We start from the raw sequence: 24,193 nt of genomic DNA, 5'->3' as shown, positions 1-24,193 counted from the left end.
TCTTCATGTTGTGTCAACAAAAGTCTACATTTTCACTCCCCTCTCTCCACGCCAGACTATAAATAAATTATCCAGTGATGAGTTAACAGCTCATTACTATGCCACATTTTGCAGTGAGATTGGAAAAGTAGAAAAGGTAGAAAGAGTAGGAAAAGTAGAAAAGGCAAACCCCAGTTGCCTTGAACCCTTGAATGAGAGGAGGAAGAGCCCCAGAGGGTCGTGAGTCAAAAGGAGGTGAGAGCTGGGGCTTTCTCTAGTGTCCAGGGAGGTCTTGGATAGAGCCAGACTGAGGCTGGAAGGGCCTGGCTGCTTCCTACCCACCCACCCCAGGAATTCTGACAGCTGAAGGGATGCCGCCTGGGCATGGTCAGGTGTCTGTGGACGAGCCCCAGAGGCCCCTTCCCAAGGCCACTTTCCCACTACTGAGCTCTACAGAAGGGGCAGAGGAGGAGGATAAGGCAGAGGGAGACAGCTCTGTCTCAGGTCCTTTCCACCCAGTTCCGGTAGACAAGGGGCAGGGGCCTCACCCAAAGGCAGTCAGAGGAGGGGAAGCTCCTACATTTGAGTGGGGGAATGTGGGGGAGCTGACTCTGAGCACAGGGCAGATATCCACTAGGACAAGCAAAGTAGAATGCACTCTGATCCTAATGACGATGGAGGTGCCGACCTTAGATATTCACGTTCTTGCCTTGATATGAGGGGCATTCTCACCTCCGTCACATTCCTGGGCAACCCAGAGCAACCTGGAAGGGAACTGAGGGCCTGCCCCAGAGCTAAGAGCACTTAAAAGGATCAGGAGCCAAGGGACAGTCCTTTTACTTTTTTTTTTTTGCAATAGAGGCACGTTGTCACTAAGTCACCAAGACTGGCCTCAAACTCCTGGCCTTAAAGCAATCCTCCTGCCTCAGCCTCCCGAAGTGCCGGGATCACAGGCATAAGCCACCAAATCCAGCTGACAATCCTTTTAAATTTGTGGAAAATACACCTTAGAAACCATAAAATGGAACCCCTTCCATTTCTACAAAATGGACCTCCCTCAGGCCTGGGGCCTCCGAAAGAGACCCATTTCCCCAGGAAGGGGATGGGGCAGGAGACTTGCTGGGTTTGAAGCTGAGAAGTGTACACAGATGGGCAAAGGGGACCCCGAGAGTCGTGCTGGCTTCAAGGACAGGCTGACTTGCACATTCAGGGAGAGACTGAGGGCTGGAGAGACAGAACTGTTTGAAATGGAGGGTTGATTGGACTCCAGTGAAAGAGAAGGGCGAGGGCGCTGACGCTGGGAATGGGTGGGCTAGGAGTAAACCTAGAAGGGTTCTCCTGGTATGAAGGGCCAACAGCCCCTTCACGGAGGTGGACTCAAGAGTGGGCTTGACTCAGAAAGGAACGAGAGGTGGAAATATTTCGGGGAGGGCGCCCACAGAGATAACTCTGAGGACTGCGCAGGGAGGCCAAGGAAGAGACCCAGGAAGAGGCTGTGGGTGCAGTGTGGGAGGATCAGGCCCAGCACTTAGCAGCCAAAGAAAGCTTTCAGGCAGAGATTCAAGAACCCGGGCAACAGATGCCGTAACCACGGCAGGAAGGAGAATTTCCAGGTGTGGAGGTCAATGTGGTGAAGGCCTCAGGTCAGGAAAGACAAGAAAAAATGCTGGGGAGCCAAGCATGGGGGCGCACACCTGGAGTCCCAGCTACTCAGGAGACTGAGACGGGAGGGTCACTTGAGCTCAGGAGGTTGAGGCTGCAGTGAGCTATGATTGCATCACTGCACTCCAGCCTGGGGGACAGAGACCCTGTCTTTAAAAATTATAGGCCGGGCGCGGTGGCTCACGCCTGTAATCCCAGCACTTTGGGAGGCCGAGGCGGGTGGATCATGAGGTCAGGAGATCGAGACCATCCTGGCTAACAAGGTGAAACCCCGTCTCTACTAAAAATACAAAAAATTAGCCGGGCGCGGTGGCGGGCGCCTGTAGTCCCAGCCACTCGGGAGGCTGAGGCAGGAGAATGGCGTGAACCCGGGAAGCGGAGCTTGCAGTGAGCCGAGATTGCGCCACTGCAGTCCGCAGTCCGACCTGGGCGACAGAGCGACACTCCGTCTCAAAAAAAAAAAAAAAAAAAAAAAAAAAAAAAAAATTATAAATAGGCCGGGCACAGTGGCTCACATCTGTAATCCCAGCACTTTGGAAAGCCAAGGCAAGTGAATCACTGGAGGCCAGGAGTTCGAGACCAGCCTGGCCAACATAGCAAAACCCCATCTCTACTAAAAATACAAAAAAAAAAAAAAAAAAAATTAGCCAGGTGTGGTGGCACACACCTGTGGTCCCAGCTACTTGGGAGGCTGAGGCACGAGGATCACTTGAACCCAGGAGGCAGACATTGCAGTAAGCCTAGATCACACCACTGCACACCAGCCTGGGCAACAGAGTGAGACCATCTCAAAAAATTAAATTAATACACTTAAAATGCTGGGGGCTCCCAGGTCAGAATAGTGGATGGTCAGAAGTGTTTGCCTCCTTCCCTATCTAAATAACAAAAGATATAATGAAGAAGCCCAAGGCCGCACTGGCAGTGAAGACAATACCACCAAGAGAAATAATTCATTTTGTGAAAGACGGGAAACATCCGGCACTGTATTAATGGACAAACTGGAAGAGGAAACCACAGCCCAGCACACGATGGGGAGAAGGCTGCACGGGATGTGGGTTACAGGAAGACTTCTCTGGAAAGGCTCCCAGCTTGGAGGAGGCAGAAGGGGTGACTAACTGGGGGGCTGGCTTCACCAACTCTTCAAGACTCAAATGCACACGCACATGCGCACACGCAAACACACAGGTTAAGTGCACGTGAGCTCAGATGCTTACCTGCTAAGGAATGCTCCCTAAACTGAAGGGGAGGTAGAGGGTTCAGGTTGAAGCAGCTGAGTAGAATACCGCGAAACAGACCCAGAGCAAAGGGAAGAAAGGCAGCTCCAAGATCTGGGGTCAAGTCTACCTGCCCCCAACCTGCTCAGTCCCTGAAAGGAAGCCAGGACATACGTCCATACAGTGACCCTCACCCAGCCTTCCAGTGTAGGAAGTGGCCTTGTGGGTAAACAGCCCAGAAAAAGAAACACCTCCTAGGAACTTCTACAAATCAGTTCAGTCCTGCATTAAAGGACCAAGCATCACTTAGTATTTGTTCTTCTCCATAAGAATTAGGGTGAACAACTCACCTAATCCCTGAGATAAGAATTGTAAAAAAAAAAAAAAAAAACTCTAATTCATTTTCTTATACACAGTCCTTACATCCATGAAGAACAGGCTCCTATGGAAAGAGGAGCAATCAGAGAACAAACTGTTTCAGAAATTTTTTAAAGAAAAAAAGAGGGCCAAAATAAAAAATTTCTAGAGGGCGGGTAGAATCATCATGACTTAAAACCAAATTGGCTTTGTAGTGGAGTGATGGTTCCGGCAGAATTCTACAATCTACTAAGGCCAGACATGGTGGCTCTTGCCTGTAATCCTAGCACTTTGGGAGGCCAAGGCGGGCAGATGACTAGAGGGCAGGAGTTCAAGACCAGCCTGACCAACATGGTGAAACTCCATCTCTACTAAAAATACAAAAATTAGCTGGACGGGTGGCACATGCCTGTAATCTCAGCTACTTGGGAGGCTGAGCCAGGAGAATTGCTTAAACCCAGGAGGCAGAGGTTGCAGTGAGCTGGGATTGCACCATTACACTCTAGCCTGGGCAACAGAGAGAGACTCCGTCTTAAAAAATAGAAATAAAAAGTAGTTCAGGCCGGGCGCGGTGACTCACGCCTGTAATCCCAGCACTTTGCTGAGGCCGAGGTGGGTGGATCACCTGAGGTCAGGAGTTCAAGACCAGCCTGGCCAACATGGCAAAACCCTGTCTCTATTGAAAATACAAAAACTAGCTGGGCACAGTGATGGGCGCCTGTAATCCCAGCTATTCGGGAGGCTGAGGCGGGGAATTGCTTCATCCTGGGAGATGGAGGTTGCAGTGAGCCAAGATCACGCCACTAATTGCGCCCACTTCATCCTGGGCAACAGAGCTAGACTCCATCTCAAAAAAAAAAAAAAAAGTTCAGCTCCTTCAAGCCTCAGACAGGTGCGTTCTGAGGCATGCATTCTGCACTGTTTTCCAGATTCCCTGTGGGGTTGAGCTCCAATCCCACAGTGGCAGTGGCTTCACACTCCTCATCTGCTGCCTTCCAAGGGCCACTTCCTGCTGAACTTTGTGCCTGCACTTCCACCAAAGCCTACCTGAGCTAGAATCCCTGTCTTAAAGTCTGTTTTCTGGAAAAACCCAAACCAAGGATAGGATAATGTTTATTTTGTACTTGAGATACTTTTTAAAGAGGTGGTGGAAGTTGGTGCCCAGTAGAATAGCTAGGAAAGCCAACTTCAGGAAGGCCTGGGGTGATGAGCAGGAAGAGAGGATGTGAGTTGAAGACAGGCTGGGAAAGGGCGAGTCACAGGATGGTAGGTTTCCAAGGCAGTGAGGTGAGCCCTTGCTAACACTTACGATGCAAGTTCTCCATGTGGCTTATTGCTTGAGGAGCATCAAAGGCCCACCCTCCAATCCCGTGTGGGTCAGCTGTCAGGAAGCTGCAAACACTTTGTTCAACTGCCAGGCCCCTGACTTAGAAATAAGCCCTTGGATTACAATCAAATTAAAACTACTCTCGCTGCTTCAGTGCAGTTAACACATCCCCTTTCACCATGCACAACAGCCAAGAAGAAAGCAACTGACAAAGCTCAAAAGCCACCAGGGTTGGTTGGGATGAGAATTCATAAACACAGGTCAAAGTGACAGAAGCAGGAAATGCACCTGAACAGGACTCTTTTTTTTTTCTTTTTTGAGATGGAGTCTCGCTCTGTCGCCCAGGCTGGAGTGCAGTGGTGTGATCTCAGCTCACTGCAACCTCCGCCTCCTGGGTTCAAACCATTCTCCTGCCTCAGCCTCCCGAGTAGCTGGAATTACAGGTGCCGCCACCACGCCCGGCTAATTTTTTGTAATTTTAGTAGAGATGCAGTTTCACCATGTTGGCCAGGCTGGTCTCGAACTCCTGACCTCATGATCCGCCTGCCTCGGCCTCCCAAAGTGCTGGGATTACAGGCGTAAGCCACCGCACCCGGCCTAGGACTCCATCTTTCAATTTAAGGGTTTAAAAAAATATATAAAGACTCATGCTGTATTTCAATTATTCTAATATGTAATATTTAAGATGTCACATTTTAATATCTCTAACTGAGGCACAACTGATAAAAAATCATATTGGCAGTGCTTTTAGTGTATACAAAGTTGCGCATTTACAACAAATACGGTAATTCATATCATGTGAGCAAACGAGATTTTTAGGGCTCTTTAAAGACAGAAGTCCCTCATTCTTGGCCTCTACAAGATATAATGGTATTAAGGGCAAAACTTTTTTAGTGTATTACTTTGAGAACTTCATGAGTCAGAATACTTCAGTTTTTCAGATTAATGCAAACAAAGTTCAGTTCAAAAAATCTTATTTGGCAAATGTTTCTAGCAATTGGATTTACATTAAGGAAAACCTAATTTCATAGCCTCAATAGCCCAGCATGTAAAGTATGTATTTTCCTGTTCTAGGCAAGAAACAAGAATTTTCACTTCATCTGGCATTTTTCATCAGAAGGCAAATCACGGGGAAGTTAAACTTTGGCCCAACTGAAGGCTTCATTCATTTCAGCTTCCCATCCTTTCCATTAGTAAAGTCACCCTCCCTTTTTGCATCTGAGAAAGTCAAGATGACCCGGGACATCAAATATTCCGCATCACCACCAATCAGGTGTGGACAAGTAGGAGATGGCCCACTTTGGGTGTCTTTAATTCTTGACTCAATTTCCAAGTGTAACAAAGCACTCCCCCAATTTCCTGTTCTTCTTTCCAGCCTCTCTTGACCATCTCAAGAAAGGACATGGGTATAACCAGGATCAGGAAGGGGAATGAGCCATTCTTGTCTCTTGCATCCTTTTTTTAAGACCTGCTTGGGTTTTTGAATAGTCCAAACCCTGGCAATGCTTTCAGCCTTTTTGACCTTCAAACTCAAAATCAACATGACTTGGGAATAGCCAAGAAAAGGGCCCAAAATACCAGTTTCCCTTGAGGCCTAATTGTTAAACAGTTCTCAAAGAATAAGTTAGACTTACAGCAGTTCCATCCGTGAGATGGGGGATCAGGTGAGAACCCATATTGTGGGCACCAAGAGAGGCCTTCCTGGATTTAAGGGTTTGCGCCATAACAGAGCCCAAGCATGCGTAAAGCTCTAAAACCTAACGTGCTCTGCTAAAAAGCCCATGAGGTCCATCTCACAGGGCAGCAATGACCAGTGTGGTGGGCTTGGGCAGCCATTGCACAAGAACTTCTGCCAAATGAAGAAGGGCCAGAGATCATCTCATCCAAATGTCATCAGCACCAAGAACTCATGTTCAAACAACAGCACACATGTGGACTGAAGGCTCACAAAAGGCCCCCCAGTGGCCCTCCACACCTCATTCAAAACCTGCTCCATCTCTTCTTTCTCTACAAGAGACTTGAAACCTCAGAGAAGGGGAATCTCTAACAAGAAAAAAAATTGAAATTCCTCTGAGAGGAGAAACCTATTACCTGAGAATGCGTGGTCAGGTTTTTTGGACAAATGCAAATGTGATCCAATTACCTGTGAATGTTCTCAGAGCTTCTTTTCTTCTTTACTCTTCTCTAGCCATAATGTGGCAATATGGCCCTCTGGGAGGTGTGTGCTAGCAGCCATGGGAGTAGAAGGCAGATGCAGGCCCCAGGAAACCTTCAGGAAGACCAGGCTGAAAACAGTCTTCAATCTCAAATCAAGCACCTGTGTCCTCATACTTGCTCAGAAATGGCTTCCACATTCCAAACAGGATTAGACTGTTTGCTCTTACAACACTAACCCTTCTGTTTTTTGAGCTTCATCAATTGTCTACTTGTTTCCCACTGGACGTTAGTAGTGTCTTCTCAACATGGGTCTATGAAAGGAAATTGAGTAGTCAAGGCTGATTCTATATTTCATCTTTGTGGCTACAAACTCCAAAATAGAAATGGCTTAGGATAACACAATCTTTACAATGCCACACCACTCCCTAATTAAATTATTTATACTCACTGAAAATGGAAGCATAAATAAATATTCTCACTTTTCTTTAAAGACTTTAAATGGGAAAGCACTTTGGGGATTTTAAATGCAAAGATGGATGACGCACTGAGAGACAGTGATAGTTCAACACTACTGTAATGGTTTCTGGGGAGGAAACTGGCCTCTTTCAGGGAAAAATGTTCTCAAATATGGGAAACAAAAGGATTATAGATTACACATTACACAAAAAATTAAAAATACAGTGGCTTTATTTCCATTGTTTATAGTCCCCAGTATCCCATCTGATAAGAACCTTCAATTCTATAAACAAAAATATTTCAAGAAAGTATGTTACACAATAGTACATATAAGTAATAGTTTGGCAGAATTTTAAACTCTAGTAGTTCATACCCCCAAAAAACAAATTTTAAAATTCAAAAATAACAGTTTTATTTAACATATGTTACACCTTAACATTTAAAATATCATGCTCTAGTTAAATATTTCATCAACAACACTGTATACAAATAAAATATTACATAAAATATATTTAAGAAAATGTTTTGGTCTTTGATCTGAACAATAAATAAAAACACAGGCACTTCTACATAGACAGGGAAGCAGTTACTACTCAATAATAATCTTGTATAAGCAGCATGTGAAAATATGGCAATAATAAATTCTGGAATTTTAAATTGACAAACCATCTATGCAAAAGTCTGTAACTTCAACCTTTTCACTCAAGTTCAAAATACATATGCCTTCCTGGTCCATATTGAAAATTCACTAACACGATATGGTTGTTAGCGGCAATTCAATCTTCAGTTGGCCATTAAGGAATCACACTGATTTTCAAATACTAAAATTACACTATGATACCACCAGGAAACCAAATACAAGAAAAATTAAACCCTCTTTCTCCTTATTATGACCATAACATCACAACAAGATAAATTAGATGAGTGTCACACCATGATTCTCATTTTGCAAAATTAATTAACACACAAAAATACTGTTGGGGTGGCAGGAAATTTCCACAATTGAAAAACTGAATTCCACAACTGACAACTGAAATTTCAGTTTTCTAGACAATTTAAAATTTACCCAAATCCCATAAAAATAAACATAATTCCATTTCACGAAAACCACTGGATAATGTTTAACAAAGTCTTTGTAGCCAATAGGTTTATAAATACCTGAATTACAAATAAATCAGTCATTATTATGGGAAGTAGGAATATTATAGAAGAGGGCAAACAAAATCACTTAAAATGGCCAAATTCCAGAAACAGGATTTCAGATAAGAGGGTACAAGTTTTTTAAAAATGACCACTAGCCGGTAAGATCAGAACCAATCATCCTGCCATATCATCCATAAAAAAAAATTACCATCTTCCGCTTTCCCTCTTCACGTGAGTACCAAATTGAAGGGTTTAGAGGCCCTCAAATGGGTATCACTCATAAAGGCAATTTTCATGGTTTAATATAGAAATTACTCTAATGTGAGAACACAACATGGGAACTATTCAAAATACACCTTTCTATGCAAAATTGAGTTTGTATCTATTTTAGCATTTTAAATGAGCACTCTGCAACTGAGACCAAATATCAATCATCTCTTGAGGTTTTCTACTATGTACTAACATCAGATCTACATAGGAGCAGATGTTATTTTTGTTTTTCTCCTCGATATCAAATGTCCTGAAGCCTTTGTGTTTCTCTGGAACGAGGCCGAGTTTCTGAAGGCACATTCCAGTATAAACGTCATCAATGGGGTAGAGATGGACCTGGTCAGTGATATGGTACAGCCTCAGGGCCAGGTGGCCGGAGTAGAGGAACCCCCCTCCCCCTGCATAGGGTGGGTAGAGGCCAGAGTAAACAACTTCTGGGATGTAGTACTTCAGCTTCTTATCCCGATGAGGTCCAGCATTGTGGATCACATCACCTATGAAGAGATCTTTGGCTTTGGTCTTGGATAAACTATTCAAGTAATTCAGGATGTGATGGGTGTTCACAAAAACATCGTCATCGCCCTTGAAAACAAACTCAGTGTCTGGGCAGGAAGTACTTACCCACCTGAGAAACAGCACTTCCTTCAGAGACAAGTTGAAGAAAGTGTCTCTGTAGTTCCACATAAGAATGTCTTGGTGCTTCTCACTCTCAAATTTCAGCATATCTGAAAGGTCGGGGTGGTTGTCCTCTGGGGGTGTCTGGCCCAGCAGGAAGACTCGCACCACCGTTTGGTTCCCTGCGTTGCTTTCTTGGCCCCAGGATTCCCGGATTGCTTGCCTTCTGGCAAAATGTGGAGTGAGGGACTTAATCGCCAGCAACAAGAAAGGTTTCTTTGCACACTTATCCGGCTGATCTATAAGCAGTGAATAATTGCGGCATCTCAAATACAGCAGAAAGTCTTTAAATCTGTCCGGCAAGTTGTTAAAACCCGTAACCACCGACGTGACCCTCAGGTCAGGTTCGCAGTAGTTCAGATGGCTTATATTGGAGAGCCTGCCCGCCTCCCCCGTCTGGTTGGTCAGCATGCTCAGGATGGGGTTGTACTGCCGGTTCAGCTTCTCTTGCTCTCGGTTCCAGTATGCCTCGGGAGGGGTAGATATCTTCCAGAACTTCTCTTTGGGTATTATTACTTCCCCTTTTCCATTTTTTTCTTGGCTACTGCTTTTGGAGACTTCCATAATAAAATAAATGAAGACATTTGCCATCATCAGGATACCCAACAACTTTATTCTTCGACGTCCAACACTCATTTCTCATATCTGGAATAAAGGGGTGGAGTATTGTATCAATTACTTATCAATTTGCATTTGCACATACAATTTATTTTACCTGTCTCCCCAGGAATAGTGGTTTACAGCAAAGACTCTACACTTGCACTGCCTAGGTTCAAATCTTGGCCCTTCCTTTCTAGCTTTGTGATCATGGGCAAGTGGGATAGTCCCTGTCTCAACTTCTCCATATATAAAATGGGAATCAAGCCCACTTCAAAGGATGGTTGTGAGTATATGATGTTATATGGAAAGCTTTTAAAATAGCGCGTGGCTCACAGCAAGCACTATGTAAGTGACTGTTTGAGACATGCTGAAGCTAGAAATACCTATTACTAAATAACCTCAGGAGAGTTCAACTTCCTTGCTTACAATGGCACATACAGTGCTTGGCAAACCGATTTGCCTAAATTATAACAAATACATTTTTATACTGTGTTTAGTATACACATACATACACAAAACTCTATTTACATGTGTGACGCATTGTGTGCAGTTCCATGTCATTCACTCTCAAGTTCTCTTCTATTTCATTTGAAAAACTTTGAGATTTTAAAATGTAGAAACAGGGACTGGTTACGTTGCTCAGGCTGGGCTCAAACTCCCAACCTAAGGTGATCCTCCCACCTCAGCCTCCCAAAGTGCTGGGATTATAGGCATGTCTGACCCTATCTCTCTCTCTTTTTTTTAATGTTAGTCCCAACCCTGAGTTATTTTCCAACCTACCATTTTACAGATAAGGAAACCAAAGCAGAGAGATTAAGACACTTGCCCAAGGTTGCAGGGCTAGGAAGCAGGAGACAGGAACCACAGAGCATCTCAGACAGAGAAAATGAAAGCAGACTCAGGACAGCTTTATCCCAATAGCCAAGAACTGGCAACAGCCCAATATCAACAGAACAGATGATCAAACTGTGGCATCTGCATACAATGGTATATCCCCTCGGCAATAGAAAGGGAAACTATTGTGGATGAAACATTACAACATTACATTGTGAATGAAGGCCAGACCCAAATTTTCATTTATATTAACTTCAAGAACAGGCAAAATGAATTTAGGTTCTAGAAATCTGAAAGTGATGGAGGTGGTGGGCTTAGAGAAGGATAGGAAGGAACTTCCTGGGGTACAGAAATGTACCATGTAGGTCTTGATCCTGATGAAGGCTCCACGGATGTATGCATATGTCAAACCTGAAGTGTATATTTAAGATCTCTATTGTTTGTAGCAAAAAGGGAAATACAAATGATATTTTAGTGAAATATCAAAAGATTTCAGGCTGTGGGCAATGGAAGAATAAAGAATGAGTAATGAGATGGTTTGCTGGGGATATCCAAGGTTCTAACACTATTGACATGGATGACCTATACAAGAATGAACATTTAAACCAAGGTGACATTAAAAGATAGCCCAAAAAAGTGGGATGGCAATGTTCTATAAAGAGCTGAAGATTTTCTTATCAGGTTAATTCAACTGGGAATTTATCCTTAGGTACTATTACTCATTCCCATTTTATACCTGAGGAGGTACACATTTAAAGAAGGGCAGACTGGAATACCAGCCAAGGCAAACAGATTCCAAGTCTGTACCATGCCAAAAGGTAGCTACACTTCTCCAATCCCTAAAAGAAAGCTTTGCAACTATTTTAATCTAGTATTTGCTTTTTGAAAGGAGAGGATTTTTAAGTTCACTGGATTCTAACAAACGGTAAAGTAGAAAAATATTTGTCATGCTGAGAATGCTGTAAAACTATTACATATTAGAGAGCCCAGATGAGATCAACAGGAATTCACAAGCTATTGTGTGTCTGTAAAGATCTGCCTAGTAGACCTTTATCTGGTTGCTTGTATTTACTACTGCTGAAACCACCTTTGCAAAGATTATGGACAGTAAGAAATCTAGCATGGCTGACTCCATCTTGCGTCTACCCTCACAGGCTAGCTGTCTCCACTCATTCCTGGGCATAGGCCAAGCTAACCACGGGAGAAATTTAGTTTACAGTTTAACTTCGAAGCAAAGATGGTAACAGTCCCTCCATAAAACTGATCCCTTCCTTGTTCAGGGGGCTGAGGCTAATGAAAGGTCACAAGATTAGGATTGAGAGGGGCCTGAATTCTGCTAAAATGTAAGCACAGTTTTTATAATCCCGTATTGCTCAGAAGTCATGTGGCCAGAGGCCACAAGATCTTTGACTTCCCCAAGTGCTCCTGTAGTTAACACCACTATTATAGAAACTAAGATTGGTCTTCTGAATGTTTCTCAGACTTACCCCACCCAGACTAGAGACTCATGACTCCCCCCAACCCCTGCAGACTCAGCACATGGCTTTGATTGCATCCACAGCCAATCAGCAGCACCCACTCCCTGGTCCCCTGCCCACAAAACTACTCTTGAAAAACCTAACCTCATACCTTTGGAGACTTCCGTGATAACTCCAGTTATTTCTCAAATACTTCTCAAAAAGAAAAGGTTCTCTCTAACTTGGGACAATTCTCCTAATGCTAAAGTGAGCCCTTGACCCAGTACTGCTGTCTCTAGGTCTCAGGCCCTTCCTAGTCTGGAAGGAAGGGCAACAGGAAATGTGTGATGGTGAAAAACTACAATGAAGAAAAAGATTTGCAAAGGGGCCAGGCAGAGTGACTCACGCCTGTAAACCCAGCACTTTGCTTTGGTAGGCCGAGGTGGGCAGATCACTTGAGGCCAGGAGTTTGAGACCAGCCTGGCCAACACAGCAAAACCCTGCCTCTACTAAAAATACAAAAAAGGCATGGTGGTGCACTCCTGTAGTCCAAGCTACTTGGGAGGCTGAGGTTGCAGTGAGCTGAGATCGTGCCACTGCACTCCAGCCTGGGTGACAGAGCAAAACTACTCAGGAAAAAACAGCACATACTATGAACAGCTTAATACCCGGCAAAAATTTAACTCAGTAAAGGGATTTAAACATTAATAGACCTTTACCAAAATTTCTGGAGTAAAAGAGGACAGCTTAGGGAAGAAAAAAGGGAAGCACAGTACTTTACATAGGAGGCTGTGAACTTCCAGAGCTAATTCTCCTAGGAAAGATACAGAGTGAATAACATGTAAAAATGACTCCAGATAATTTAACAAGTTTATACATCTAGATTATGGGAGAGGCCATGAATAACTGGAATCCAGCCATAACCACTTGAAGCCTCTATCACGGAAAACACCAATCCTTCTTTTGAGGATGCTTTGAGGAATAAGCTTGCTGACCCCTGGCAAGATTTCCAACTTCATCTGCTACAATTCAGCCTTTTATTTCCTCAATCAAGGCCACGTCAAGGTACAGTTCTCACATCACCTTGGCTCAAGACACAGGGACTAATGAATGGCCTTCCCGGGAACACCACCCTCAACTTTCATTTAAGTGCTCAAGGCCTCCAGCCCGCAGGGCATTTTCCTGCTCATTTCTCATTGCACGGGATGCCACTTTACCAGGAGAAAATGGAAGCTCAGAGGGGACTGATGATTTGCCTGAATATTATGGAAGAGTTACGTGACAAGGCTTAGACAAGACCACCTTCTGGCTCCCAATCCAGGACTCTCTGGATCTCTTTTTTCTATGAGGCTCAACCACATTCTAGTTACCTGGACCAGGTCAACAGTGAAGTCCCACAGGCTGATTATGGCACGGGATCATGGTACATTGATAGTTAAAGAGGCTCCAAAGAAAGAGAAATGGGGGCACCTACAAGCTCCCAGCCCCACCTCAGGAAACAGATCAGCCTTTCTTGTAAAAGACTTCAGATTCCCAAAGGCTCAATTTGAGGCAACTCTTCCCATTACTTGCTAAAGGGTATTTCTTTCAAGCCAATCTGAAGAGGAAGGTGGAGAAAACAAGATTCTCAACTGCACATTTCCATCAAGGTTAAATGTCATCGTGCACTTGTGACCTGGGCACAGTGTCTTGCATGAGAACTCGGCTTCTAGTAGGCTCTTAGAACAAAGCCAAGTTCATGGAAAGGAGGATAAAGCAGTGACCCCCATAAAAATATCTGTGGGAAAAAGCTCTCTAAATATCTGACTAAACATTCCCATCGCAGACAGAAAACCCAATTCCAATGTCCTTTCTTCAGCAGGAAGTTACATTGCGTAAGAAGAATTTAAGAAAACTCACCCCAAAGCTGGGGGAAGATGTTATAAACTCTCGCTGTGAAACACAGACTTTCTGTTGTAACAGAAATAAGAGAAAACCCCATATACAAACACAAAGCAACCTTAGCTTTTTACCTTGTCCCCAACAGGGACAGAACAGTTTTGAAACTTCAGTTGGTTTTGTTTAATGAAATGAAAATATTTAGAAAGACAGTATAACAGAGAAAACCTTAGCTGAAAAATGGCTTACAAAACAGTAGACATGATGCTGAAACTATGTGACAATCTAGATAAAATACTACACAAAAACAAAGTGGGTTTATTCAGGGTGGTGGGATGAGAGGGTGTTTTCACATCCTTTAACGCTGCCCAAAGGTCTGCCCTGTAAGCAGCCTCTTCCGCCGCACGCTGGGGACCGGGATACAGCACACAGCCCCATGCGGGGTTCCCTGTTCCACAGCCCACCCCCAGCCTGTGTCAGCATCGCCGTATTCGACCCCTACAGTGCTGCATAGAGGCTGTCACAACACCCATCCCTATTACCTGCACACCTTCCCTTGTGCCTGTGCCACGTCCTAAGGGCTCCTACATGTAATAGTGAAACATGAACACACCTGCCTTAACAAATATGTACCAAGCACCAGCAATCCTTTGAGGCAGATACTCTAAATTCCCACTGCTTATTTCGCTGAGGCACAGGGTAGGGGGCACGGGGTGGGTGGACAAGTGACTGAACTTGTCCAATGTCACACAGCTGGTAAATGGTAGAGCCAGGACTCAAACCCAGGCAATGATAGCTCCAGAGTGCGAGTTTTCAACCATCACACAATCACGGAAGCAAACGCTGCTGCGTATGGTTATGACCGCAGGAACTGAAGGGATTTGTGTCTAATTTTCCATGGTTAATCTTCTTAAAGTAACTTTTTAAAAGCTCTGTATTTATACATTTTCACCCACAAAACTACGAGTCAACCATCAGATATGGGAGGCAGTGTACTATCTTAAGTAACATTAGTGACTCTACAGGCTAGGCTCTGGGCAAAATGCAGCCCCCACTCATCTCTCCCCTAAAAGAAAATGAGAAAAAATGAGGCTTTGAGAGTCCCAGGTTCCCAGCCAGCAAGTGATGGAGTCAGGGCTTGCGCCCAGGCCTTCTAGTTCTAGTTTCTTCTACACATTGTACTGGAACATGGGAAAGATTACCAAGCTGTGAAAACAGACAGTGACTCACGTGGACTTTATGACCCCGGGGAAGCCAATTTCTCAAGACCTTAGTTTCTTAGCTAAGAGGCTGTTTTTAATTTTTTTTTCTCCCATGCAAAACCATGGTTTTCAAGGGCGCCCATTTTCCTACTGTCCCACCGTTCTATTAATCGGAAGCTATGGGCTGGGTGCCATGGCTCACGCCTGTAACCCCAACACTTTAGGAAGCCAGGGTGAGAGGATTGCTTGAGCCCAGGAGTTCGAGACCAACCTGGGCAACATAGCGAGACCCCATGTCTACATTAAAAAAAAATTAGCTGGGTGTAGTGGCATGCACCTGTGGTCCCAGCCACTCAGGAGGCTGAGGTGGGAGGGCTGCTTGAACCCAGAAGATCCAGGCAGCAGTGAGCTGAGATTGTACCACCGTACTCCAGGCTGAGTGACAGAGTGAGACCCTATCTCTTTAAAAAAAACAAAAAAAAAGAAAAATCAGAAGCTATGATCCCTCCTCCCCCAGGCCTCCCTCCCACCCATCCACATGAGATGACCTTCAGCTGGTTTCACTCTGACCAAAGCAAAGGTCTTCAATACCTACTTAGCCCACACAGGCTGTTTTCCTTAGGACTCAAATACTGAAACAATTCCAACGTTTCACTCATGGACACTAGACTGGGAATCCCTGAACCCAATGACCCTAAAAAGGTTCCCTTCAATTCTGAGAGCCCTGTAGCACTGAAGCAAAACTGCTGGCCAGAAAACATTTGAATGTGGCCACCAACAGCCATGAGGACTCTCTCCCAGAACTCAGGCAGGGTCTGACTCCCCCGCCATGGGCTCAGGCAAGCTAAAAAGATGCCCGACAGTAACTAGCCAGGGACAGAACGAGCAATACGTACAAGCCAGACCCAAGACCTGTGCCAAGGCTGCCCTGCACTTTCTCCTACTACCAAGATTAAGGATGAAAGAAAAGCAAGGCCTCCTTGTAACCGTGAAATAAAATGACCAGTCACCCCCACCCACTCAGGCTGAGAGAAAGGGGCTGGAAATCCAAGCTTCTGACTAAACCCCAGGAGTGTCAGAGCTAGCAGCCTCCATCTCTAGAGGGCATCCTGGTTCCTGTTCACTTTCCTGCTCCAACAGGACACACAAATCCTCAGAAAGAGCCCAAGCCCCCTGCCATATCACGAGGCCAGAGGAGCACGTTCACTCTGCCCTTTCCCTCCCCACCACCTCCGGGAGTCTGGCAAGAGTGGTTTACCTAAGTCCTCACCTCTCTGGCTGTCCCATCTGTTGCCTAGTCCTTGCCAGCCCCTTCCAGGTTCTGCTCGGATAAACAGAGACAGAGACAGTTTGCAGCTAAATGGCTCTAGGGGAGAGAATAGCTCCCAGCACTGCTGGCAGATGGTGGAGTGATAAGGGTGTGAGTGGAGCAGCTCAGTGGGACCAGAAGAGCTGGGCCACACCTACAGCTTGTTCCTTGATTGCGGAAAGAGGCCTGGCCTGGGTTTTCACCGGGGCAAGGGAGCCTCAGGACTCCCTGGACTCCCTCACCAAGAGGCTGGCACTCAGCTAAGATGATGGTCTACCTCTGCTCTCCAGTCTGTAAGTCACAGAACTATTGTCAGCTAGATTTAAGGAATTTGGTTCCCAGCCATTACTTTTAGCCTTCATGTTCAAATTAAAAGGGAAACGTATTTATAATGAATCTACTCACCTACACAGTCCCACAGGCAACATTATAGATCAAAGCATCTGGCAGGACATATTCTGGCCCCCACTGATTACAACCCCCCGAAAGCCCAGTGTGGCCGATTTTCTCAAATGATATTCATCATTTCAAATCAAATTAGCCACTAGAAGTATTCTTCAAATAAACACATACAGAACCTTTGAGGAAAAGAGGAGAAGGGAATTAACCCTCCCAGAGGCCATTCTGCCCTGCCTTTAGTAAACTAAAGAGGGTTTTAGGTCTAGGTGGAAAGATTATGCAATTTAAAAATAAGGGTAGCAGACGTTTGAGGATGGAGATGTCCCAGATCCATTTTCAGACTGGAAAACCAGTTTGGCATCTGGAGTGACAGGACCAGGATTAAATTCTGGTTATGCTACCTACTGGCTGTGTGACCTTAGGCAAGTTACCCGACCTCTCTAAGCCTCACTTTCCTCCTTTGTAAAATGGGATGATACAACCTCCAATAGCTCTTCAGGGGTCTGCCTTTTCCACCAAACCCTAAACGAAGCACATTTCTCAAAGTTCCGTCCTTCACTGCCTCTTTAGTAGTCTTCTCTCTACAAACTCCTCCATTCAATGCCATGAGCATCACCTCCAAAAGGAGGGTTCATGGGTCAACAAACTAACTCCAGATATTAGCTTCCACATGCCTTGCAGAGTCCCTCTTCCTCGGGCCTCTGTGTGCAATGGATCAAGTTCTCAGGCACCTGGTGAAAACCCCACATTACCTTGAGTTGCTTCCTGCTCTGCGCATTCAGCCAGGAGCCAGGTGCTTCTATTACGCCACTGGTAGCTCCCTCCTCATCTCTCCTCTATTCCAGAGCCTGCAATAGCCTACAGCCTCCTTTCCCACTATGTTCCCAAATATGTCTTATTTCCCAAGTCTTCAGTCCCCTGGACACACCCTCCCTGCTCATGCTGTTCCCACAGTTCCCCCAGACCACCACCAATATGCTACTGTTCCCTCAGAGCCTAACTCTAGCTATGTGTCTGTTGTTTTCTAGAACTCCTTTCTTCTCCATTCCCAGAGGTTGAACTCAGGGTTTCATCACTTCTTTCTCTTAGAGATTTCCTGCCCAAGGGTATGCCCCAGCCTAAACACCAGCCTCATTGCCCAGGAGTCAGGGTATCTGCTCCTGATCAGGATGCCTCTGCCTGGGAACCCTCCGCAGTCAAGGTCTTCACACTGCACCACCATTACACTCCAGCACGTGGTACCTGAGACTTACCCAGCATTTGCTAAAGGAACAGATACTTTGGTCATCTGGACAAGTTTACTGAACACAGTGTTCAGTAGAAACCAGATTATATATATATATACACCCTTTCTCCTAAGAGATGACAATGGAAAAATCACATGTGTGCTGAATTACAGACATGTTTATAGAAAACTGTCTCACTTATTAAGAACTAAAGGGTAACAGAAAAATTTAAATAACTTGCTAGACTTAGGGGAGATAAGAATTTCAGCAGTGCTGACTCCATGTTAGACGTGAGGGTGGGGGCAAGATCTGAAGAGGTAAACTGGGGTGAGAAGTACAGCCGCCCCCTCATTTCCCACAGTCAGCCCCAGACCACCAAAGGCAGCAGACTCATGGGTGTGCAGGTGTGTGGGATTGAGCAGTGCTTCCAGGTGAGGGTGCCATCTTCTTCCGCAGCAGACCCATTATCCCTCCTGCACCCTTATCCCAAAATGGGGCATCTCTACCTCCTTTCTGGAGAGGGATGGACCTCCAGCAATTGTAACCTACAAGGCCATGACAGTCATGGGAAGCATATCTAGAGGAAGATCCTTAGTACAGATTTGCAACCTGGGGGCATCTACTTACCTAAGGTGGGACAATCATTTTTTGTTTTTGAGACAGGGTCTCCGCTGTCGCCCAGGCTAGACTACAGTTGCCTGATCACTGCAGCCTCAACCTCCCAGGCCCAAGCGATCCTTCCACCTCAGCCTCTCGAGCAGCTGGGATGTGCCACCACACCCAACTAATTTTTTAAATTTTTTTGTAGAGACGAGGTCTCCTCATGTTGCCCCAGCTGACAGTCATTTTAGAAAAAAAACACCGGAATGCAAGCAGTCCCTTTTTGGGGAGCTTAATGCATATTGGAAGCCCTTGGTTAAGAGCTTGTACGTGGCTTGGTAAATGCTTCCACTCCAACCTCTAGGACCTGTGTACAAGCAAGTGTACTCTGGCAGCCTCTCAGTGAGCCCTCAGAAATCTCTAAAGACTTCTCTCTGATTCATCCTTCTGCCTGCTTAGGTGAGCTGCATAGAATGTTTTTCAGTCTGGGTTCAACCAGCAGGTAGAAACCAAACAGTAATCTAAGAAAGGGAAGTTTAATACAATAAATATGACACTTGAGTAAACTATAAAGATGAAATAACAATCTAAAGGATGCCCTGGAACAGATGAAAAATATCTCCCAAAATTTGGTAGGGCAGGGGTTTTTTCTGAGTTTGTTGAAGAAAGTATAGATGGCAGAAAAACTCCTGGGTACCTAGGCCAGAGATCCCCCACAGTCACCAAGCAGCAGGGGCAACCCTCTAGGGTACAGGCAAGCAAGTCTGGGTGTAGACAGTCAAGCAGACAGAAGGAAGGAGGGGCACACACAGGGAGTCATCAGGTGCTGCTGGACCAGAGTGAAGAGGCCTCCCTCCATAGGAGCTTACCACGTCAATGTATACCCTAGGCCAGAGCAGCTTAGGGTTGTGCTGAGGACAAAGATCAGGTGGCTAGCTCACCAGATGGCCAGCACCAGGGGGGCTTGGGGTACACACATGGGGGCTGAGAGGCTGTAGGAAGCAATGATCTGGGTTGGATAAGGACCACCCAGTCTTAGGCTCCTGGTACCACCGATGCCAGAGCTGCAGAAAACAGAGCAACAGATGCTGGAGAAAGGTGTGCCCTGCAGGAATATAGGAGTGCAGGAAAAGCATGCGCATGCACACATATGAAATCAGGAAGAAAAATCCCTTCCTCCTACAAGGTCCCCTTCAGAGCCCTCTACTTACAAAAGGCAAAGAAAAAACATTTAAAGGGCCCAGACCCATTTTCAGAGATCAGGCAACTGAGGGTGAATTTGGAGCAGGAAGGCAATACTTAAAAACTGGCACAAGTTATAGATCTCTACATCACCAACCCAGAGTCATTTCTAACAACGAACATTTTTATTTAAGTCTGGGGTTTGGGGAAAAGCGGGTATAAAACATGGGTCCTATACACTGAATTGGCAGAGATAATAAATACGTGACAGCCCTTTAGTCAACAGCAGGGGTCAAGGCAGGACCTTAGTGGGGCTTCCAACAGGGCAAATTTCAGAAATGTAGAGAGAAGCAGGGCAGGCAAGACATGGGGTACGGCACAGAGCGTCTGCAGGCAGAGATGGACACAGCCAGTTCATGGACAGACAGCTTCTGAGGCCACACTAGAAGGGCAGGGAGGAGCTGGTGGGGCCCAGGGCTGCTAGGAAGAAAGTATGTGAAGCTGTGGCTGCTTCACAAATGCTGCTGCTGGATGGACTGGAGGAATGTGTTTTCTTTCCTGTCCCCTCTACTTAAAACAGAAAACTGACCACATCACATAGGAACATGAAATAAGGGAAAAAACGAAGAACTCCAAGTTGGATGCCCATTGATTACAACTTTAGTTGGTTTTGTTGTCCCGAAGACTTAATTTCTCTAAAGCAGATTCAGTTCACAGGGGAAGAGTGGTTTGTCTTCTGTCGGATCTCTAACTCCCCTGCCAGAATATAGGTAAATGTGGTCTGCCTTATCAAATTTTTTTGGGGGGGACGGGGGGGACAGGGTCTTACTCTGTCACCCAGGTTGAAGTGCAGTGGCGCAATCACAGCTCACTGCAGCCTCAACCTCCTGGGTTCAATCGATGCCCCCACACTTCAGCATCCTGAGTAGCTGGGACTACAGGCATGTCACCACACCTGGCTAATTTTGGTATTTTTTGTGGAGACAGGGTTTTGCCATGTCGCCTAGGCTGGTCTCAAACTCCTGGCCTCAAATGATCCACCTGCCTCAGCCTCCCAAAGTGCTGGGATTACAGGCACGAGCCACCCCACCCAACTGCTTTATCAATTGCTAATCAATGAGCTTATGAGTTGTTTCTGATTTTTCCTATAACTGAAAACACATAAACACCCTCCTAGACACATCATCATCTGGTTACTTCCGGAGGAAACATATTACGAAGGGAACCCAACCTTTTAAAGTCAGTTAGCATAGAATCAAGCTATTCCCCTCACTCTCACCCTTAACCTCCCACCAAAAAGAAAGGTCACACTGATTTATCCTCTCGTTGTATACCCAAGAGCATGAAGTCATCCACACTGACAGTGAATACTGTACTCCTATTATTATTATTATTTTTTTTGAGATGGAGTCTTGCTCTGTCATCCAGGCTGGAGTCAGTGGTGCGATCTCGGCTCACTGCAACCCCTGCCTCCCGGGTTCAAGTGATTCTCCTACCTCTGCCTCCCAAGTAGCTGGGACTGTAGGCGCCCACCACCACACCCAGCTAATTTTTGTATTATTTAGTAGAGATGGGGTTTCGCTATATTAGCCAGGATGGTCTCGAACTCCTGACCTCAAGTGATCTGCCCACTTCAGCCTCCCAAAGTGCTGGGATTACAGGTCTGAGCCACCGCACCCGGCCACTGTCCTCCTTTTTAATCTTTACCAAAAAAGAACATCTCCCTGTTTTAATTGATGCCATCTTTTCATATGCTTCCTTCCTGGTCTTCCTACTCCCCCATGCCCTTTGCCCATTTTTAATGTTGGGATGTTCTCATCTCATTTAATCTCCACAACAAACTAAAAAATGTGAGGCAATTAGTTTGAGGTCACAGAGCTAATCCCAGTGGAGTCAGTGTTTGGACTCTGGTCCCAACCTTGGGTCTAAGCTCTTATACTTTCTACCACACAATACCGTTGCTCGAGGAGGATTGAGAATCCCCAAATAAAGTTGTAGTTCTAAAAAATTAAGGTACCAAAATTATTGCATTTGTGGATACCCATCCAGGAAGATGTAAACCATTCCAAGGAAAGGCAGGGGGAATCGAATTTTTTTTTCTTTCCAAATTGATATGAGAAAGTAATAATGTAGACAACAAAATGGCCAGTCGGGAATCACCCAATGGTTTAACGTATCCAGGGGTCCTGGTCTGGTAACACTTCCGCACCATAGGCAGAATCCCCTGCAGATATGTTTTGTGATGACTCAGTTTTGATTATTCATACGAAAGGATGAGAGACTGCTGGGGCTTAAACTAGCCTCGTCTTAAACACCTGTCAGAGCTGGCTACAGGTGGAGAAAATCTGCTTTTCCTTCCCTCCAACATCACAGCCTGCAGTGAAGGGAGATCAGCACAACTTTACAACCTGCCACAGGGTTGGGACAGTGGCACAGGGCTGGTCCAGACCCCAGCTCTCCTGTGAAGGAAAGGGATCAAAGAACCAGCGTTACCCACCAACTGTACCATCTCACTCTTGGTGTGTGTGGGGGGTGACGGCGTGGGGGCGGGTAAAGGGTCTGGCCTGTGTTCTGTGTTGCCCCATCTGGTCTTGAATTCCTGGGCTCAAGTGATCCTCTCACCTCAGCCACCAGCTTGTAGCTGGGACTACAAGTGTGCCACCACGCCTGGCTTACCTCATTCTTTTACTTGTTTTTCAACAACATGCACATGAATTCATACATAGATTGTGACCCAATTTCATTACCAGAAAGAAGCTCCAAGAATTTCTTTCCCAGGGCCTTACAGACCATCCACTCTAATATCTCTTTTACAGCAGAGGAGACCAAGGCACAGGGAGACAGAGCCTTGCCCAAGGCTGCCCTGGGGAAGAGAACCAGGATTACTACCACGTGTCCCAGGGGACTGGGGAGTCCAGTCCAGTAGTCAAAATTATCATTAGTAACAAAGTCTTTTTCTCACAGTCTATAGCTTCCATTCTGGGCTATCAACATAAAAACAGAAGAGCCAATGGCCCGAAATTAGCCGGGTATGGTGGCTCATGTCTGTAATCCCAGCTACTAGGAAGGCTGAGGCGCTTGAACCCGGGAGGCAGAGGCTGCAGTGAGCTGAAATGTACCACTGCACTCCGACCCAGCCTGGGCAAGAGTGAGACTGCAACAACAACAACCAAAAAAGCGCCAATGTGTCACCTCTTCCTCCCACCCCACTGCCCCCACCCAGGTTGGGCTGCTTGTATTTCTTCCCCCTTGCTGTTACCACCACCTCACCCACATTTATCTGACTTAGCACACGGTGTGATAACAGGTCTGACACACCAAGGACTCCTGGGCAGAATGGGCCATATTCACTTCTGCATCTCTAGTGCCTACCACTCAACACACAATCAATATGAGAACAAGAAGGGGAGGGACAGTAAAGGAACCAGGACCTAATCTAAGGACATTTTGTATTCTTTGACCATTTTGATCAAACATTTTAAACACTGTTCTAGCAAACCATTCTTGGATAATTTCACACACACCCCCCTCCCCAGCATCCCTCCCTCTGGTCCCTGGCTCTGTGCCAGTCCTGGCCCTCTTCTCCATAAGTATCCTAAGCATCTACCAATTCCCGAGCTTTCCCCTCTAGGCCTCACTCCTCAAGACACAATTACGTGGTGTCATCTCAAGGCAGTACATCACCTAAAAACATGACTCAGGAAACAAATACAATTAAATAAATCTATAAACAAACACAGGCCTCAGGGATGGGGGAGGTGAGAAAGAAGGCAATTAAAAATTAATAGAAACGCACAAGCATAAATTACATTTACTGGACTAGAAACAGAATCCCATTATATAAACTGTTATCCAAGTGACCTTGTACAAGTGCTTCTGGAAATAAGTAGGCCATCAGCCCAGTCTTGGCAGTCTTGGTGTAGAGATTGGGGGGGAAGGAAGGGGGAAAGGAAGGGGGGAAGGAAGGAGGAATCTGTTGTCTGTTATGTGGGCTCCTCATGTCTACAGACACATACAAACAAGGAGACTATTTTCACATAGGTACGAAAAAGTGATTACTGTCATTTTACATAGTAAAATGTACAAGAATTCAACTAATGACCAATTTACAAAATTTAAAGATGACCCCTCTCAAACTCATAAGATCGACTTTCAAAAGTACACCATTCCCCACCACTTAGTTCCACTGGTGTGATAACTGGCCACACACAGAGAAGCAGAAATTTCAAATTTTAAAACAAGCACTTTAATATTAAGCACTCAGGC

The 24,193-nt window shown here is 45.5% G+C and overlaps 1 protein-coding gene across 2 annotated transcripts in view, besides 2 other annotated features; it reads right to left on the bottom strand.

Annotated features, from left to right (window-relative positions):
- Positions 1-7,365: 7,365 nt before the first annotated feature.
- Positions 7,366-24,193, bottom strand: part of B3GNT2 (UDP-GlcNAc:betaGal beta-1,3-N-acetylglucosaminyltransferase 2) — a 28,617-nt gene continuing 11,789 nt past the window's right edge. Inside the window, exons 1-2 of one of the 2 annotated variants that reach the window (NM_001319075.2) lie at positions 16,482-16,579; positions 7,366-9,885 (exon numbers count right to left, since the gene is read on the bottom strand). In NM_001319075.2, the coding sequence (NP_001306004.1) occupies positions 8,683-9,876 (1,194 nt within the window). In that variant the 5' untranslated portion in view covers positions 9,877-9,885; positions 16,482-16,579 and the 3' untranslated portion in view covers positions 7,366-8,682. Of the gene's footprint in view, positions 9,886-16,481; positions 16,580-24,193 lie in introns of those variants that run through there. The other variant, NM_006577.6, reaches the window with a different exon arrangement.
- Positions 13,954-14,453: an enhancer, noted in NCBI's record as "H3K4me1 hESC enhancer chr2:62444779-62445278 (GRCh37/hg19 assembly coordinates)". NCBI's record gives its function as "activates a minimal SCP1, AML or CMV promoter by ChIP-STARR-seq in primed H9 embryonic stem cells {active_cell/tissue: H9 hESC(primed)}" and the evidence as "EXISTENCE:reporter gene assay evidence [ECO:0000049][PMID:30033119]".
- Positions 16,104-16,603: an enhancer, noted in NCBI's record as "H3K27ac hESC enhancer chr2:62442629-62443128 (GRCh37/hg19 assembly coordinates)". NCBI's record gives its function as "activates a minimal SCP1, AML or CMV promoter by ChIP-STARR-seq in primed H9 embryonic stem cells {active_cell/tissue: H9 hESC(primed)}" and the evidence as "EXISTENCE:reporter gene assay evidence [ECO:0000049][PMID:30033119]".

This window comes from Homo sapiens, chromosome 2, assembly GCF_000001405.40.
Source record: "Homo sapiens chromosome 2, GRCh38.p14 Primary Assembly".
NCBI lineage: Eukaryota > Metazoa > Chordata > Mammalia > Primates > Hominidae > Homo > Homo sapiens.
Note: the sequence above shows the minus strand (reverse complement) of the source record. Positions and strands in the feature narration are given on the sequence as shown.